General features: G+C 42.2%; 2 annotated features.

Annotated features, from left to right (window-relative positions):
- Window positions 6,454-6,955: an enhancer, noted in NCBI's record as "H3K27ac hESC enhancer chr1:203906459-203906960 (GRCh37/hg19 assembly coordinates)". NCBI's record gives its function as "activates a minimal SCP1, AML or CMV promoter by ChIP-STARR-seq in naive and primed H9 embryonic stem cells {active_cell/tissue: H9 hESC(naive and primed)}" and the evidence as "EXISTENCE:reporter gene assay evidence [ECO:0000049][PMID:30033119]".
- Window positions 6,956-7,455: an enhancer, noted in NCBI's record as "H3K27ac hESC enhancer chr1:203906961-203907460 (GRCh37/hg19 assembly coordinates)". NCBI's record gives its function as "activates a minimal SCP1, AML or CMV promoter by ChIP-STARR-seq in naive H9 embryonic stem cells {active_cell/tissue: H9 hESC(naive)}" and the evidence as "EXISTENCE:reporter gene assay evidence [ECO:0000049][PMID:30033119]".

Below are 16,823 nucleotides of genomic sequence, written 5' to 3' on the forward strand. Positions count from 1 at the left end.
CAGTGGCTCACTCCTGTAACCCAGCACTTTGGGAGGTCGAGGCAGGCGAATTGCTTGAGGTCAAGAGTTCAAGACCAGCCTGACCAACATGGTGAAACCCTGTCTCTACTGAAAATACAAAAGTTAGCCGGGCATGGTTGTGCAAGCCTGTAATCCCAGCTACTCAGGAGGCTGAGGCAGGAGAACCGCTTGAACCCGGGAGGCAGAGGTTGCAGTGAGCCGAGATCGCGCCATTGCACTGTAGCATGGGTGACAGAGCAAGACTCCATCTCAAAAAAAAAAAAAAATTGTGTATGATCTCACTTATATGTGGAATCTAAAAAAGTGAACTCATAGAAGCAGAAAGTAGTATGGTGATTACCAGAGTCTGGGTGTTGGCGGTGGAGATATTGGTCACAGGATACAAATTTTCAGTTAGAAGGAATATGTTCAAGAGATTTGTTGTAAAACATGGTGACTAGAATTAATAACAATGTGTTGGGCAACGCGCGGTGGCTCACGCCTGTAATCCCAGCACTTGGGTGGCTGACGCGGATGGATCACCCGAGGTCAGGAGTTCAAGACCAGCCTGGCCAATGTGGTGAAACCCTGTCTCTGCTAAAAATACAAAAATTAGCTGGGCATGGTGGCGGGTGCCTGTAATCCCAGCTACTCAGGAGGCTGAGGCAGGAGAATCACTTGAACCCAGTATGCAGAGGTTGCAGTGAGCCAAGATTGCGCCATTGCACTCAAGCCTGGGACAACAAGAGTGAAACTCCATCTCAAAAAACACATTCACACACACAAAAACAATCTGTTGTATTCTTCAAAATCACAAAAACAGTAGATTTTAAGCCTTCTCACTATAAAAAAAGAAACGTGAGGTTAAGCATATGATATTTAGCTTGATTTAGCCATTCCACAGTGTACACATATTTCAAAACATTATGTTGTACGTAATAAATACATAAAATTTTTGGCAATAAAAAATGTTTGATCTAATTTTTTTTAAAGGAGTCTATTTCAGTAATTCAGGTGAGAGATAATGGTGGTTTAGGCCAGGGAGTACTAGCAGAGGAAATGGGCCACTTCCGGAATTTCCTATTGGATTAGATATAAGGTTACAGAGGAAACTCAAAGATGTCTCCCAAGTTTGTGCCTGAAGCAATCAAAAGGAGTTGGATAGTTCGCAGGATTACCTGGAGACTCAAGCTCCACAAATGGACATAAAGGGGAGGGAAAGAGTGAGACACAGCCACTGCCAAGGTCACACCATAGAACCAGTCTGACAAAGCCTTTCTTGCTGCAGGCACCAGACACCGGATGCCACCCCTGGCATGAAAACTGGATGTTACTGTTGTTGGAATAAAGTGTTTCCTGGCTTCTTTCTTTGCATTACTATTTCCTCAGTCAACACCTTGGGTGGACATGTCCACTTGACCAAGCCAAGGTCACATGCCTTCTCCCTTGCTGCAAGAGGTGCTGGGGCAGTAAGTATCAGATCCTTCTACTTCTATAGTGGGACATTGCCCCTGATTTTTACGAAAGCTCAAATGATAGGGGATTCTCCAAATTTAAGGAGTGGGTTCAGATGAAGGGCAGCCACAGAAGCGAGGAATATGCACCACACTATGTTAGAGCAGTCACCATGGAATTGTGTTAGACTGCAGATGGAGGAAGTTACTGCTACTCTTTTAAGAGCTAGAGATCTTGAAGGAATTTTTAAAAAACAATCTGAGAGAGTTTCATTCATAACTGTGAAAGCATGTCGAACTCTTCAACAGGAAGATGAACGGTTGCATTATCACTCAATAGCACTGAGTATCAGTAAAAAACTTCCTTTTGCTTTGCCCACTTCTCTTACCACAGCCCTGCTAGGCTGGGATTCTTATAAAAGGGAGGCTTGCTTTCAAGGCACCCAGGGCCCTATCTCTGTACTACTTATCCTTCCTAATCATTGCAGAGGAAGCGAGGCTAACAACCTTTGATGATTGCTGGAGGAACCAAATGTACTTGAAATCAAAGGGCTGTACCAAAGTCAGGCATTACTGAGCAGTGGTTGACAAAGTTTTTTGGGGCTGAGTGCAGTGGCTCATGCCTGTAATCCCAGCACTTTGGGAGGCCAAGGTGGGAGAATCACTTGAACCCAGGAGTTTGAGACCAACTTGGGCAACATGATGAAACCCCATCTCTACAAAAAATTGAAAAATTAGCCAGGCGCGGTGGCGAGCACCGTAGTCCCAGCTACTTTAGGAGGCTGGGGTGGGAGGATTGCTTGAGCCTGGGAGGTGAAGGCTGCAGTGAGCTGAGATCACGCCACTACATTCCAGCCTGGGTGACAGAGTAAGACCCTGTCTCAAAAAAAAAAAAAAAAAAATGGATTTGAAACCTATTTGGGTCCTACATCTGTACTGCCTGGGAAATTTCTGCTGTCACAGAATATATGGAGGCCAGAGATTCATTGTTCCTTGCGTCAAGAATGTTATAACTTGTGAGGCTATGGATTATATTGAGCAACAACAAGAAAAAAGAATGCTAACAGCCTTAATGATAGAACCAAGCTGGCAGCCTTTTCAGTCCCCATCCCTTCCTTCCTTCCCTCCCTCCCTCCCTCTCTCTTTCTTTCTTTCTTTCTTCTTTCTTTCGAGACGGAGTCTTGCTCTGTCACCAGGCTAGAGTGCAGTGGCATGATCTTGGCTCACTGCAGCCTCTGACTCCCAGGTTCAAGCAATTCTCCTGCCTCACCCTCCCGAGTAGCTGAGATTACAGGCATATGCCACCACGCCCAGCTAATATTTGTGTGTGTGTGTGTGTGTGTGTGTGTGTATTTATTTATTTATTTATGTATTTTGTAGAGATGGGGTTTTACCATGTTGGCCAGGATGGTCTCGATCCCCTGACCTCGTGATCCACCTGCCTCGTCCTCCCAAAGTGCTGGGATTACAGGTGTGAACCAGCAAGCCTGGCCATCCCCGTCACTTTAAACATCATCTGAGCTCTGGATTTGTTACACTGGTGTAAATTGATTGCCACCGAAGTTCAGGTTCTAATTTATGCACCCATTGTTGAAGAGAGAGCCTCCCGGGTCAGCCCAGGGATGCTTGTTCTTTCTACACCTGGCTAACCCAGGTGTTGCTTTTCATTTTCCCCTACTTGGTCCCACAGCCTCCCCCTCAGGGACTTTTCTTCACAGCCTAGGGGGAAAGCTGATTGGTTAGAAAATTTCCCCTTGCCACCAGCCTTGGTCTCTCCTGGCATAGGAGCCATTCCATGGTTTGTGGTCGAGTTGACTAGAAGACAGCTCTGGGTGGCCACCTTTGTTTAGGATGCATGAACTTAAAGCCCATGAATCACCTCTACAGGCTTTTCCTGACTTAGCTTCTGTGGGTGGGGTTGGGAAATTTCCCCAGGCTTTCATAGTACTTCCTGCCTCTGGAAAAGAATCTCCCAGGTTTGGCCGCAACTAGAAGGATGAAACTAACAGGGCATCTGAGCCCTAGTGGGAGAACTGGAGCAAAGTAAGAGTTCATGGTAGGTAAGCAGGAGGACTTGGGCATTGCCTGTTCGCCCTGAGGAAACCAGGAGAGGAGGGAAGTGTTATGGGTATGTGAGGGTAGTGGGTGGGGTTACAGAATGCAGTATCTATGTTTTGGCATTGAATGTAAAAAACATTTTTAAACTAAGAAATAATAATAAATATAAATATATGTGAAATGACTTCTAATTTATGAATCCTTTGTTTGGGACTGTAGTTCTGAGCATATGAAAAGGGGAAAAGAGATAAAAAGTAGATCTTTTACCTTATTGGATTTTTTTTCCCCTCAAGTAGAGATGTGGTCTTGCTACGTTGCCTAAGCTGGTCTTGAACTCCTGGCCTCAAAGAGATCCTCTGGCCCTGACCTCCTAGAATGCTGGGATTACAGCCATGAGCCACTGTGTCTGGCTGCCTTATTGCATTTTAAAAATATATCCCCAAAAAACATTTTGGCAGGGAATGGGTGGCTTTCAGTTTCCAAACTTCTTGGTGACTCATGGAATCCCCTTTCTTTTCCTTAGATACAGGAAGGGAATTTCTAGAGGGGGAGGGAGCTGGAAAGCTGTGAATATTTTTTAACTACACCTTTGTTTTCTCAGCTATGTAATGTGTTTATTATCGTAAAAATTATGTATTGCTAGGTTCTACGATATAAGCTCAGAGCCAGTGCCTGTCTTCTATGATATTAAAATTTAAGATAGGTGTACTTATGAAGACCCAATCTGCAATGACAGAAAACCAAAACAACAATAGGTGAAGTAGGAGTAGGGTGTTTTCATTGAAAAACATAAGTACATTTTAGAGTTCAGAATGAAGGAAAACTTGGGGAAAAAAAGTTGAATTTCATTGTCCAGGTGAAGTGTTCAGCTAGGAGGTTTCCTAAAGGAAAGAGTATTATAGGATCTATTAGAATAAAATTAATTCTTTACATTCTATTGTATAGCTTGTTGGGAAGGGAAGAGATCCTTTTGATGGGGGAAAGTCAAGAGCTTTTATGGCCCCAGAGAGGTGAGAGAAGATGGTTAATTAAACAGTTTTCTTTCACTTCTGCAAATCATAGCATCACCAGATGTTTGGGGTGCAGGTGGGCTAGCTAGCAAGATGCTGACTACCGGAGGTGATTGCTGCTGTGTGCCTCATACCTGAGACTTTGCGCACTTGAAGTTTAATTGTCACATTACCAATCTGCAGCTGAGGGGGCCCTTGCAGATCTGAGAAATGAGATGTCATCAATGCTGGTTTCTGCAGAACACTGAGCCTGGCAGTCAGGCAGGAGGGGAAGTCATGCAGAGGGGGCTGCTGCAGGAAATATGCCCACCTGGGCAAGTGGCATCTTGTGTCCCCATACCCATCAGAACCTACATCTTTCTGTAGAACAGGAAGCACAAGATTGATACCAGCTACTCAAACTGCAAACCATGCCATAGCTAAAAGTGTGACCTCAATTATCCTGGATCAAGAAAATAACAGGTGGCCAACCCTAAAGTCTGTCCATAACAAGGGGAAAAGTCCTTGGGACCTGACTCAGGTCTGGGGCTGTAGGAATCTTTTCTGGACACTCCCCTTTGACTTGAATGCTTTTCCACTCATTGAACAGTTTATTTATGAACCCTATAATAAGAACGAATAAGAAACATTTACCAAATACCAGCAACATATTGCAATATTATGCTAGAACTTACGGGTGATACAAACAAATTATGAAACCTGTACTTTTCTAAGTTATACTTTCCAAAATGCTTTCATATTCTTGCAAGATTTTATCCTTATAACCTCTGCTTATCCTTTCCAGGAAGTCTTCGTCCACTAACCTTACCTTGTTATTTATATATCAGTTTTTTCTTTTTTTGTAGAGATGGGGTTTCGCCATGTTGCTCCTAATGACTAATGAAGCCAATCATCTTCTCTTGTGCTTACTTGCTGTCTGTTTATCTTTTCTGGTGAAATGTCTCTTTAAGTTTTTTGCCCATTTTCTTGATTGGGTTGGTGTTATTTTATTATTGAGTTTTGAGAGTTGTTTATATATTTGGGATACAACTTCTTTGTCAGATATGTGGGTTTTTTTAGATTAAACAAAAACCTCAACCTGGCTTAAATGATAAAAATTTACTGGCTTACATTATAGTGAGACCTGGGCAGACTCCGAGATTGGTGTAGTTCAGTTTTTCTTTTTTTTGAGACGGGGTCTCACTCTGTCACCCATGTTGGAGTGCAGTGGCACGATCTCGGCCCACTGCAACCTATGCCTCCTGGATTCAAGTAATTCTCCTGCCTCAGCCTCCTGAATAGCTGGGACTACAGGTGTGTGCCATCACGCCCAGCTAATCTTTTGTATTTTTAGTAAAGACAGGGTTTCACCATGTTAGCCACGATGGTCTTGATCTCCTGACCTCATGATCCGCCTGCCTCAGCCTCCCAAAGTGCTGGGATTGCAGGCGTGAGCCACCGTGCCCGGCCAGAGTTGTTTTTTACTGTTTTTCCATATCTTTACTCTGCATCTGCTGTCCGAGCTTTATGTGGGGGACAGCTTTTCCCATGGTGAAAAAATTGCTGGCCTCACATCCCTAAACCACTTTGTCCAGAAAGAGAGATAGCTGGCAATCAATAGAGCTTAAGAATGAGAGGGCCGCTGGGCAAGATGTCTCACGCCTGTAATTCCAGCACTTTGGAAGGCTGAGGTGGGCGGATCACCTCAGGTTGGAAGTTCGAGACCACCTTGGCCAACATGGTGAAACCCCATCTCTACTAAAAATACAAAAATTAGCCAGGCATGGGGGTGCACACCTGTAATCCCAGCTACTCAGGAGGCTGAGACATGAGAATTGCTTGAAGCCAGGAGGTGGAGGTTGCAGTGAACCAAGATGGCACCACTGCACTCCAGCCTGGATGACAGAGCCAGACTCTGTCTCAAAAAAAAAAAAAAAAAAAAAAAAAGAATGAGAGGACGTGTACAATGGCTCATGCCTGTAATCCCAGCATTTTGGGAAGCCAAGATGGGCAAATTGCTTAAGCTCAGGAGTTCAAAAACCAGCCTGGGTTACATGGCAAAACCCTGTCTTTACAAAAAATACCCCAAAATTAGCTGGGCATGGTGGCGTGAACCTGTAGTCCCAGCTACTCAAGAGACTGAGGTGGGAGGATTGCTTCAGCCCCCAGAGGTTGAGGCTGTGGTGAGCCAAGACCATGCCACTGCACTCCAACCTGGACAACAGAGTGAGACCCCGTCTCAAGAAAAAAGGAAGGGAAGGGGAGGGGAGGGGAGGGGGAGGAAGGAAGGAAGGAGGGAGGGAGGGAAGGAGGGAAGGAAGGAAGGAGAGAGAGAGAGAAAGAAAAGGAAAGAAAGAGAAAAAGAGAGAGGAAAGAAAGAAAGAAAAAGGAAGAAAGAAAGAGAAAGAAAGAAAGAGAAGGAAAGAAAAAGGAAAGGAAGGAAGGAAGAGAGAGAAAAAGGAAGAAGTGAAGGAAGGGAGAGAAAAAAGAAAGGAAAGGAAGAAAGGAAGGAAGAGAGAGAAAGAAGAAAGAAAGAAAAGAAAAAGAAAGGAAGAAAGGAAGGAAGGAAGAGAGAGAAAGAAAGAAAGTGAGAGAAAGAGAGAAAGAAAGAATATTTTACAACAACCCTAGCCTCCCTAACATCTCACTGGTGTGAATTGGGTCAGATGACCATAGTGAAGCAATGTCCATGGTTAGAGGAATGTCACCTGCTGACTGCGTTAAGCCATGGGGAAGGGATAATTATACTTTAAGGCGGCCAAACATTTTTTTTTATTACCTTTCCGTTTGAGGTTGTTTTCTGCCCACAGCAGAAGCCAGATGTTCACTGTCTCAGTCTGTGTTGAGACAGACTCTCATGCATAGCTATGGCACGTGCATGAAAGCAAGCTCACCAATCAGATGCTTCCCGTGAGATTTTGATTAGGAAGAGAGCAGGATGAGGAAGCTGGATCAATGTTTCTTACCAGGATGGCAGCAGAGGTCCAATCATTTATTTGTTAAGCAGATTGGACCCTGTTGAAGCCATCCCACATAAAATTCAGTCAGCATGGCCCTTGACACACATCACTACAAAACTAGGATCTCTATAGTTTCTTCTACTTCTACCCCACTTATTTCAAACTCGGAGATGTGTGAGGGTTGGAATGACCTTATTTCTGAAAGCTGTGTCTGGTAAAAGGTCTGATAGACCTTATTTCTGAGAGCGGTGTCTAGAAGACCTAGGTCAGTTAGAGGAAGCCCATGGGTGCAAGGGGCTTCCGTAGCTCTCCCTTTTAAGTATTTTGCATAGAATTTACAGTTTCACATAGGAAAGTTCTACGTCAAATGGTATAGTGGGAGAACACTGGGGAAAAGGGAGATGTTACTTTATTAATTTTAAATAAACCAATGTGATTGGAGGATACAGAATTGAGGTAAGAGTATGGTTAAACAAGAGGGATAGACAGGGGACAGAACATGTTAGGGTTTTTTAATTTGTTTTAGAGACAGGGTCTTGCTTTGCTGCCCAGGCTGGAGGGCGGTGGTGCTATCATAGCTCACTGTCACCTGGAATTCCTGGGCTCAAGCAATCCTCCCACTTCAGCCTCCCAAGTAGCTAGGACTACAGGTGTGCATCACCACCCTGGATCATTTTTAAATTTATTTATTTATTTTTTGAGACGGAGTCTTGCTCTGTCACCCAGGCTGGAGTGCAGTGGTGTGATCTCGGCTCACTGCAACCTCTGCCTCCCGGGTTCAAGTGATTCTCCTGCTTCAGCCTCCTGAGTAGCTAGGACTACAGGCGTGTGCCACTATGCCAGGCTAATATTTTGTATTTTTAGTAGGAATGGGGCTTCACCATGTTGGCCAAGCTGGTCTCAAACTCCTGACCTCAAGCAATCCACCTGCCTCAGACTCCCAAATTGCTGGGCTTATAGGCGTGAGTCACCGCGCCCGGCCATTTAAAAATATTTTATAAAAAGGGAGTCTTGGCATCTTACCCAGGTTAGTCTCGAACTCCTGGGCTCAAGTGATCTTCTCACCTCGGCCTCCCAAAGTGTTAGGATTACAAGTGTGAGCCACCACACCTGGCCTCATGTTAGATTTTATAAGTCATAGACCTCATCCAAGTTTATGAGTTGGGCACTTGGATGTGAGTACTGGGTTTACTGCAATGGGGAGCCCTAGAGGCAGAGGATTTGAGGAAAGATGATACTAACTTTGAAGTGCCTTTGAGATATCCTATCAGTGAGGCAGTTGGATATATGGATCTAGGAGCTCAGGAGATATAGAGTCATAGGCAAATTGTTAACATGGAAGGGCATAGGGTGGGAGTTTCCTGGGGCCTTACCCTGGCTCGGTTCATACATGCTGTATGACAGTGCACTGCAAATTTTTCTTTGTAATGGGCAGACCTCTTGGCTACAAGAGACAGAAACTGTTTAACCAGCTTGGGTCAAGGAAGAATTGATGAACCAAATCATAGGAAGGGCAGAAATGCAGCTGGCCCCAAGGAACAATTGGAAAGACAGACTTTCTATAGCCCTTGTCTTTTCTTCTCTTTTCCTCATGTACCATTAAAGCTTCCTGGCTTCCTCCATATGGAAATAAGGAGACACAATTATAGACAGACACAATTGCCGGCTGATTGTGCAGGTAATCAGAGAGAGGCTGACTCTCTTCGCGGTCCCAGTTTGAAAATTGTGGGCAAGGAATTATTGGCCTGGCCTGGGTCAGGCCTCCCCTTGAAATAATTACCTGTGGTGGTGGTATTAGAGTGGTGGTCATGTTTGCACACGGCAGAGTAGAAATTAAGCATTCTGTGTCATGATATTGGCCTGGCTGCTGTGATGGAGATCCAAAATAACAATGGGTTGGCTGGGCACGGTGGCTCATGCCTGTAATCTCGGCACTTGGGAGGCTGAGGTGGGAGGATCACTTGAGGCCAGGAGTTCAAGACCAGCCTGTGTAAACATAGAAAGACCCTGTCTCTACAAAAAATTAAAAACTTAGCTGGGCATTGTGGCATGTGCCTGTAGTCCCAGCTACTCTGGAGGCTGAGGTAGGAGGATCACTTGAGCTGGGAGGGTCAAGACTATAGTGAACCGTGATTGCACCACTGCACTCCAGCCTGGGCAACAGAGTGAGACCCTATCTCAAACAAACAAACAAAAAACGAACATAGCAAATCGAAATAAAAACCACAGTAGGTTAAAAAAGACAGGGGTTCATTTTTCTCATGTAAATGCCTAGACATAAATACAATACTGAAAATATATTTAACAGGACTGCTATGGGTCAAACCAGGAGTGGATCCAGATTTTCTGGGGCTGAATACAATTTTTGGAGCCCTCTTTAAGGAAAATAGTATGAAGTTTCCAGTACAAAATTGATACAAAAGTAAATACTTGCTAAAGATGAGAAAAGAAATCACAACAAATTACTGGAGATTTGAAGTTTCAGGTCCCTTTCTTCTGAGATCTCTTTAGCCAATTTACCAGACACACTTCCTAAACACAATCTGTTCCCCTCCATCTAGAACACTCCGCAACTTCCAGTGATTGGAGGCTCTGAAGCTTCATTAGCTTCATGGTACACCTGCCTTTGCGCTGTGTAAAAATGACACATAAAGAGAGAACAGATACACAAGTGGCTATTAGCCCCTTTCACTTTCTCATTACGCATAACCCCAAAGGGTATTCTTAGGATTTGTAGGTAAGGGTTTGAGAAGGAATATGTCGGCTTAAATATGGAGAGAAACTTTTAAATGCAGTCAATAGATATGATGGACTGCATTAAAATATGTTGAATTCCTTGTCCCTGGAGGGGACTGGACTGATAACGATGGGTGGAGCTGTCTTAATGAAGACTTGAGCAACAGATTGGGTAGGGCTTATTTAGATAGATGAATTCTGAGGTAATAGAGTGAAATGTAAAGAACCTGGACTTCTAAGTAGAAAAGATCTGGGTTTTTGTCCCCACTCCACATCTAGCTGGAAGGATGACATTGGGCAAGAGGTTTTATCTCTCTGAACTTGGACTTCCTCATCTGGAAAATGGGGATAATAAGACAATTTAGGTTTCTGTACAGATTAAATGTGGATGAATTTTAAACACCCAGGTACATAATAATACAAGTGATTTCCCTCTCTCCAGATCCTTTGCAGTATCAAGATTCTATGATTTTATGTGGGATCTGAGATGCGTCTTGAAATCTAAATAGGACTTAGGTGAGCACATAGGGAGATAGGCATTCTAGACAGAGGACTTTGATTTTAAGGTGATATATTTCTAGATTTTGTCTGTTTCACATCCCTTCTCTTTTTTCAATGACAGTCAAGTAATTTGGAGACAATTTATAAATCACAAAACAATCCCCTTATCACCCAACTTCTCATTGTGTGGCTATATAATCCATATCTTGAATGGCAGAAGTAAGTCTTCAAGTAATTCCTTTTAAAAGGGCAGTAGGTATTCTATTTACTGAGCTCTTGCATATCTGAGAATGCTTTTCTGTTGTCTTCACCCAGGCATATTCGTTTGGTCAGATATAAAATACTTTTTTGTAAATCCATTTTATGTCTGGCTTAACAGAAGACAGATGAATTCTCATATATTTCTGCATTCAATCTGTTATAATATGTTGTCTTGGTTGAAATATATGAAGAAAATCTGGCTTCACACGGATATATACTTGGGAAAGGGAGAAATATTTTAATATTCTTTTCAGATAATTCTGGATATTCTCCTTTGATACTATATCAAAATTCAGGAAGTGGCAGTCTCCTAAAGTTTAGTTGCAGTGTGGACTCTAAAACCGTATCAGTGAATCTTTCATATTCTGTTCAGTTAGAATCCATCAGTCTATCTTTCACATTGAATGGATCTTTTACCCTAATTTTGTAATATCATGCGTTTGGTTATTTGGAAAATAATAGTTGACTGAGTTATACATGTCTTCCAAATGTCAACACATTTCATTAAACAATATTTAAAAAGTCACATTCATTTGCATTCCCACTAATCTCATCAGAAAAGTCTTTAAGCAACAGAGAACTGAGCTCAAAGATGGCAGATATGACTTTCCCAATATTTTAATTTTCACTTGAAATCTGACATTTTTGCATTGGCAACAAACACCAGCAATTGTTTCCTTTGAAGTAACAGGTTCACTTTGTTCATTTTCAAGTAAAAATGATGATACATGAAAACAGCAGCTAGGTCAGCTTGCAACTCAATTGCACATATGCTTTTCCTTGAGACGATCTGCATGCTCCACTAGGTACCAGAAGGGCTTTATGTATACTTCCTATTTGTCACACAGAATATTAAAAAGATGTGTACTTGAGATTCAGGACAGGGCCGGGCGTGGTGGCTCACGCCTGTAATCCCAGCACTTTGGGAGGCCGAGGCGGGCGGATCACAAGGTCAGGAGATTGAGACCATCCTGGCTAACAGGTGAAACCCCGTCTCTACTAAAAACACAAAAACGTTAGCCGGGTGTGGTTGCGGGTGCCTGTAGTCCCAGCTACTTGGCAGGCTGAGGCAGGAGAATGGCGTGAACCCGGGAGGCGGAGCTTGCAGTGAGCCGAGATTGCACCACTGCACTCCAGCCTGGGCGACAGAGCAAGACTCTGTCTCAAAAAAAAAAAAAAAAAAAAAGATTCAGGACAACAAAAATTAGAATTTCTTATTATTTTATCAAGGACACTCTTTTTTCTTCCTGCAAGTGTGTGGTGGTGAAGAATATAATAATTGCTAGTACAGTTGGCACCATGGCATTGATTTGTGCTAAACTGCAGTTTTATCCAGCATTGTTTTTGTATCAACAGTGCAAATATCTACGCGGTGAAAAAGGCCAATAACATCTTAGTATTATTACAAAAATAACTTTGACCTTGCAGACTCTCTGAAAAGTTTTCAAAGACCTTGAAGGGTTCATGGACTACCCTTTGACGACATCTGTTTTAGGACATGTCTTTTGCTGATTTATGGCTAAGTCATATAAATTTTCCCTAAAAGTTCTGTATCTATTGTTCCCTTGGTTTCTTATATTTAGTATTACAAAAAAGATTAAAATCAAACATAATTTGTTTTCTTTATAGCTCACCTGTTTAGGTACTTAGGTCATTTTTCTTTATTTTTGTAATTAACAATCTTTGCCAGAGTATGTCTATATGGGTCTATTTGACTTTTCTTCAATATGATGATCACTTTTGGTTTTAATGCTTTTACCCAGCTCTAAAAACTTTCGATTTTGACTTTTTTTTTTTTTTTTTTTTTGAGACAGGATCTCGCTCTGTCGCCCAGGCTGGAGTTTAGTGGCATGATCTCAGCTGACTGCAACCTCCGCCTCTCGGGTTCAAGCGATTCTCCCACCTCAACCTCCCGATTAGCTGGGATTACAGGTGCATGCCACCATGCCTGGCTAATTTTTGTATTTTAAGTAGAGACAGGGTTTCATCATGTTGGCCAGGCTGGTCTCGAATTCCTGGTCTCAAGTGATCCACCCATCTTAGCCTCCCAAAATGCTGGGATTACAGGTGTGAGCCACTATGCCCGGCTTCAATTTTGACTTTTTTCCCCCCATTTTTCATCCCTCTCTTAGGAACAGCTGTAATTCTTGAGTTATTAATGAATTTGTTTTGTCTGCTATTGCTACCATCTTTTTCTCTTTATTTCATCCTTTCTCATCTTTTTCCCACAGTTTAGGAGATTTCCTCGTTTTGCCTCCTACATCATTCATTGATTGCATTTTCTGTGATGTCCACGCTCTGCTTTACTGTCTTTGCATCTTTTGGTTGTAATGGCTATTTTGATTTCCTTGCAGTTCCCCCATATCGTACCTAACTCCCTTTTCGTTTCTCTTGTGCTGTTTGTATTTTATTCTGCTGTCCTTTTATCTCTCTTATTCCCTCTTTATAACTTTTTGCTCCCTGTTTGTGGAGGACATGACCTCTTACCTCCTAGTGATTATCAAACCCAGTAGAAAATATAGATTTTCTTTGACTCAATCACTGCTAATTTTTGGACTACCTGAGCACCTTGTTGGAGCTCTAGCTGTTTGACAAGTTGTGTGCAGAGCTACTAACCCTGTTCTCTAGGTCTGTTACATATTCCCCTAGAGCAGTTTTGACACACTAAGATGAGATCTTCTAACTTCCAATGCATGGTTTTCTGAACCAATAGGTTTGGGGAGAATGTATCTTTCTATCACTTGGTGAATTGGGGGAGCTTCATTAGCATAACTTTCCTGTCTTCTCTCTACTTCCCCACTCTTAGCTTCCTGGGGAGAGGAGTAAGGGTTACCTGAGTGGTGAGTTTAAGAAAATGGGCCTGGGTAACCTAATCTCTTCCTCCAGGAAGCTGGTTTGCCTGTAGAAAGTAGAATCTTCTGATAGTTATCATCCGTGAAGGAAGATATCCAGAGGCAAACGTTGCCTCTATAGTACGGAGGCTTGCATTTCAGATGTGTAACCTCAAAAACCTCAGCACCTGAAATGTTGGGCTGTGAACCCTGGTAAGTAAATAGGGAGTTAAATTTTGGATGGCAAAATGTACACACAAAGGGGCATTGAGTTATGTAAGGTGTGTAGCTTTGAGCTTTAGACTTCAGAGTGTTTAACATGTCTTGACTTTGGCATCTTAAAGAAGTTATATTAAGCCAAGTGGGTTTTTACTGTTTTGTAGATAGCTTTTAACTTCTCAGGAGACTTTAAGTCTTAAGCCACCTCATATTTTGACCTTGGCAGGCAGCTGTAGTTTATGTGAGGACTTTGCAGCTTGTTCTTTTACAAAAAGGCAAAGCTGCACACACTGGGCCTTAGAGAAGATGTGGTCCCTAGCAAAACAGTACACCCCTCAAGAAGCCTCTTCATAGGCCTCAAGTGGCTTTGTAGTGCACACCGTGATTTTATGCTGAAGCTTTAACTGTGGCACTGGTCTTACTTCACATGTGTGAACTTCTTGGAAACTTCAGCAGACACTGGGGGATATAGAGGACTTAGTGAGCAGGCAGAGCTAAGGCAAGAATTCAAATTCTGGGGGAAAACAAACAACTATTTCAACATGTAATTATTTTAGGAACTGGTGGGCAAAAAAATGTTTACTGCTGTTAAAATCCAAGCCAGTTGAATCCATGTGAGCTACAAAGCATTTGTAAGAATTAAGTTTTAAATTATTACTGCCACAAGGAATCTTCTGTTTTATGGTAATGTTCTTTATCTTGATCTATGTGCTGGCGACTTGGATGCATTCACTTTGTGAAAATGTGTTGAGCTGTGCACTCGATTTGTGTACCTGTCCATTTGAATGTCTTACTTCTAAAAAAGTTTGTATAAAAAACAATTAGTGCCAAGCCTATGTAAATAGCATTAGATTCCCTGACCAAAATCCATCCTGTATTTTAATTAAGGCTGGGCGCAATGGCTCATGCCTGTAATCCCAGCACTTTGGGAGGCTGACGTGGGTGGATCACTTGAGCACAGGACTTGGAAACCAGCCTGGGCAACATAGCCAGACTCTGTCTCTAAAAAGAAAAAATTAGCCTGGCATGGTGGTATGCACCTGTGGTCCCAGCTACTCAGGTAAGGTAGGAGGATTGCTTGAGCCTGGGAAGTTGAGGCTATGGTGAGGAGTAATGGCGCCATGGCATTCCAGCCTGGGAGACACAGTGAGAGCCCTGTCTCAAAAACAAAAAACAAACAATCAAAAAAAGCCCCAAAATCTAAAAATTAATTTAAAAAGTATATTTTAACTAAATGTTTTATTGCAGGCTGGGCATGGTGGCTCACACCTGTAATCCCAGTACTTTGAGAGGCTGAGGTGGCCAGATCACTTGAGGGCAGGAGTTCTAGACCAGCCTGGCCAACATAGTGAAACACTGTCTCTACTAAAAATACAAAAATTAGCTGAGTATGGTGGTGGGCACCTGTAATCCCAGCTGCTTGGGAGGCTGAGGCAGGAGAATTGCTTGAGCCTGGGAGGCGGAGGTTGCAGTGGGCCAAGATCGTGCCACTGCATTCCAGCTTGGGTGACAGAGCAAGACTCCATCTCAAAAAAAAAAAGTCTTATTGCTCAACGACTGTTAATCAGATATTCTCTTAGTGAAGGCAAATATATCCTAATGCATTGTTCATTTCATCTAAGTTTACTAACATAAAGTTCTTCATAATAGTTTCCTATCCTTTAAAACTCTATGCCCCACTTTCCACTCATTGTTCTTTATATGTAAACTTATTTATTAAGCATTTATTTATTATCAATCTTGCCATACGTTTGCCTATTTTAATGCCTGTTTTGTTGTTATGCACCCCTCTATGATGTCATTTCTCCTCTATTTCATCCATTTCTATTTTTGCTTTTATTATTTCCTTTGTTATACTTACTCTCAATTTGTTCTGGTTTTTAAGATTGTCTCTTTTCTCATTTGCTGTTAAATTGTAATATGTCTCTGTTGGATTTATTTTTATTTATCCTCTCTGAATTTTGTTAGGCTTTCCGGATATGAGGATTGGTATCTCTCAACAACCCTGGAAGATTCTCAGCCATTTTATCTTCAAATGTTGCTTCATCTTCGTTCTTAATGTTACCTCCTTCTGGAGCTCCACTGAGGTAGGTTAGAACTTTTTATCCTGTCTTCCATGTCTCTTAACCACCTTTCATTCATATTTTCCATATTTGAATCCACAGACTGAATCCTAATAAATTCTTCTTTTTTTTTTGCCCAAATCAAAAATGGTCAATATCTAATAAATTCTTTAGGTCTGTTTTTTAGTACATTGGTTCTTTTTTCAGTTGTGTCTAATCTACTCTTTAGTCAGTCCATTGACTAATATAAAATTATATATTTTTCATTTCTAGAAGTTCTGCTTTGTTCTTTTTAAAATCTACTTGGCTCTTCTTGTTTATAGTTTCTTATTTCCTGCTCATAGTTTCTTTTTTCTGCCTTTATTTCCTGAAATACACTAAACATATTCCTTTTAGATTCTATGACTGGGAAATCTGGCATAAGGAGTCCTTGCATTTCTGCTTCTCCTGTCTATTGGTTCATTGGGTCTGACTCATGATGTCTTGCCTTTAGAGATTTTGTGATTCTTCTTTTTATTTATTTATTTATTTTTTTTGAGATGGAGTCTTGCTCTGTCGCCTAGGCTGGAGTGCAGTGGTGCAATCTCGGCTCACTGCAATCTCCATCTCCTGGATTCAAGTGATTCTCCAGCTTCAGCCTCCCGAATAGCTGGGATTACAGGAGCCTGCCACGATGCCCGGCTAATTTTTGTATTTTTAGTAGAGACAGGGTTTTGCCATGTTGGCCACGCTGGTCTCGAACTCCTGACCT

This window comes from Homo sapiens, chromosome 1 (genome assembly GCF_000001405.40).
Source record: "Homo sapiens chromosome 1, GRCh38.p14 Primary Assembly".
NCBI classification, from domain to species: Eukaryota; Metazoa; Chordata; class Mammalia; order Primates; family Hominidae; genus Homo; species Homo sapiens.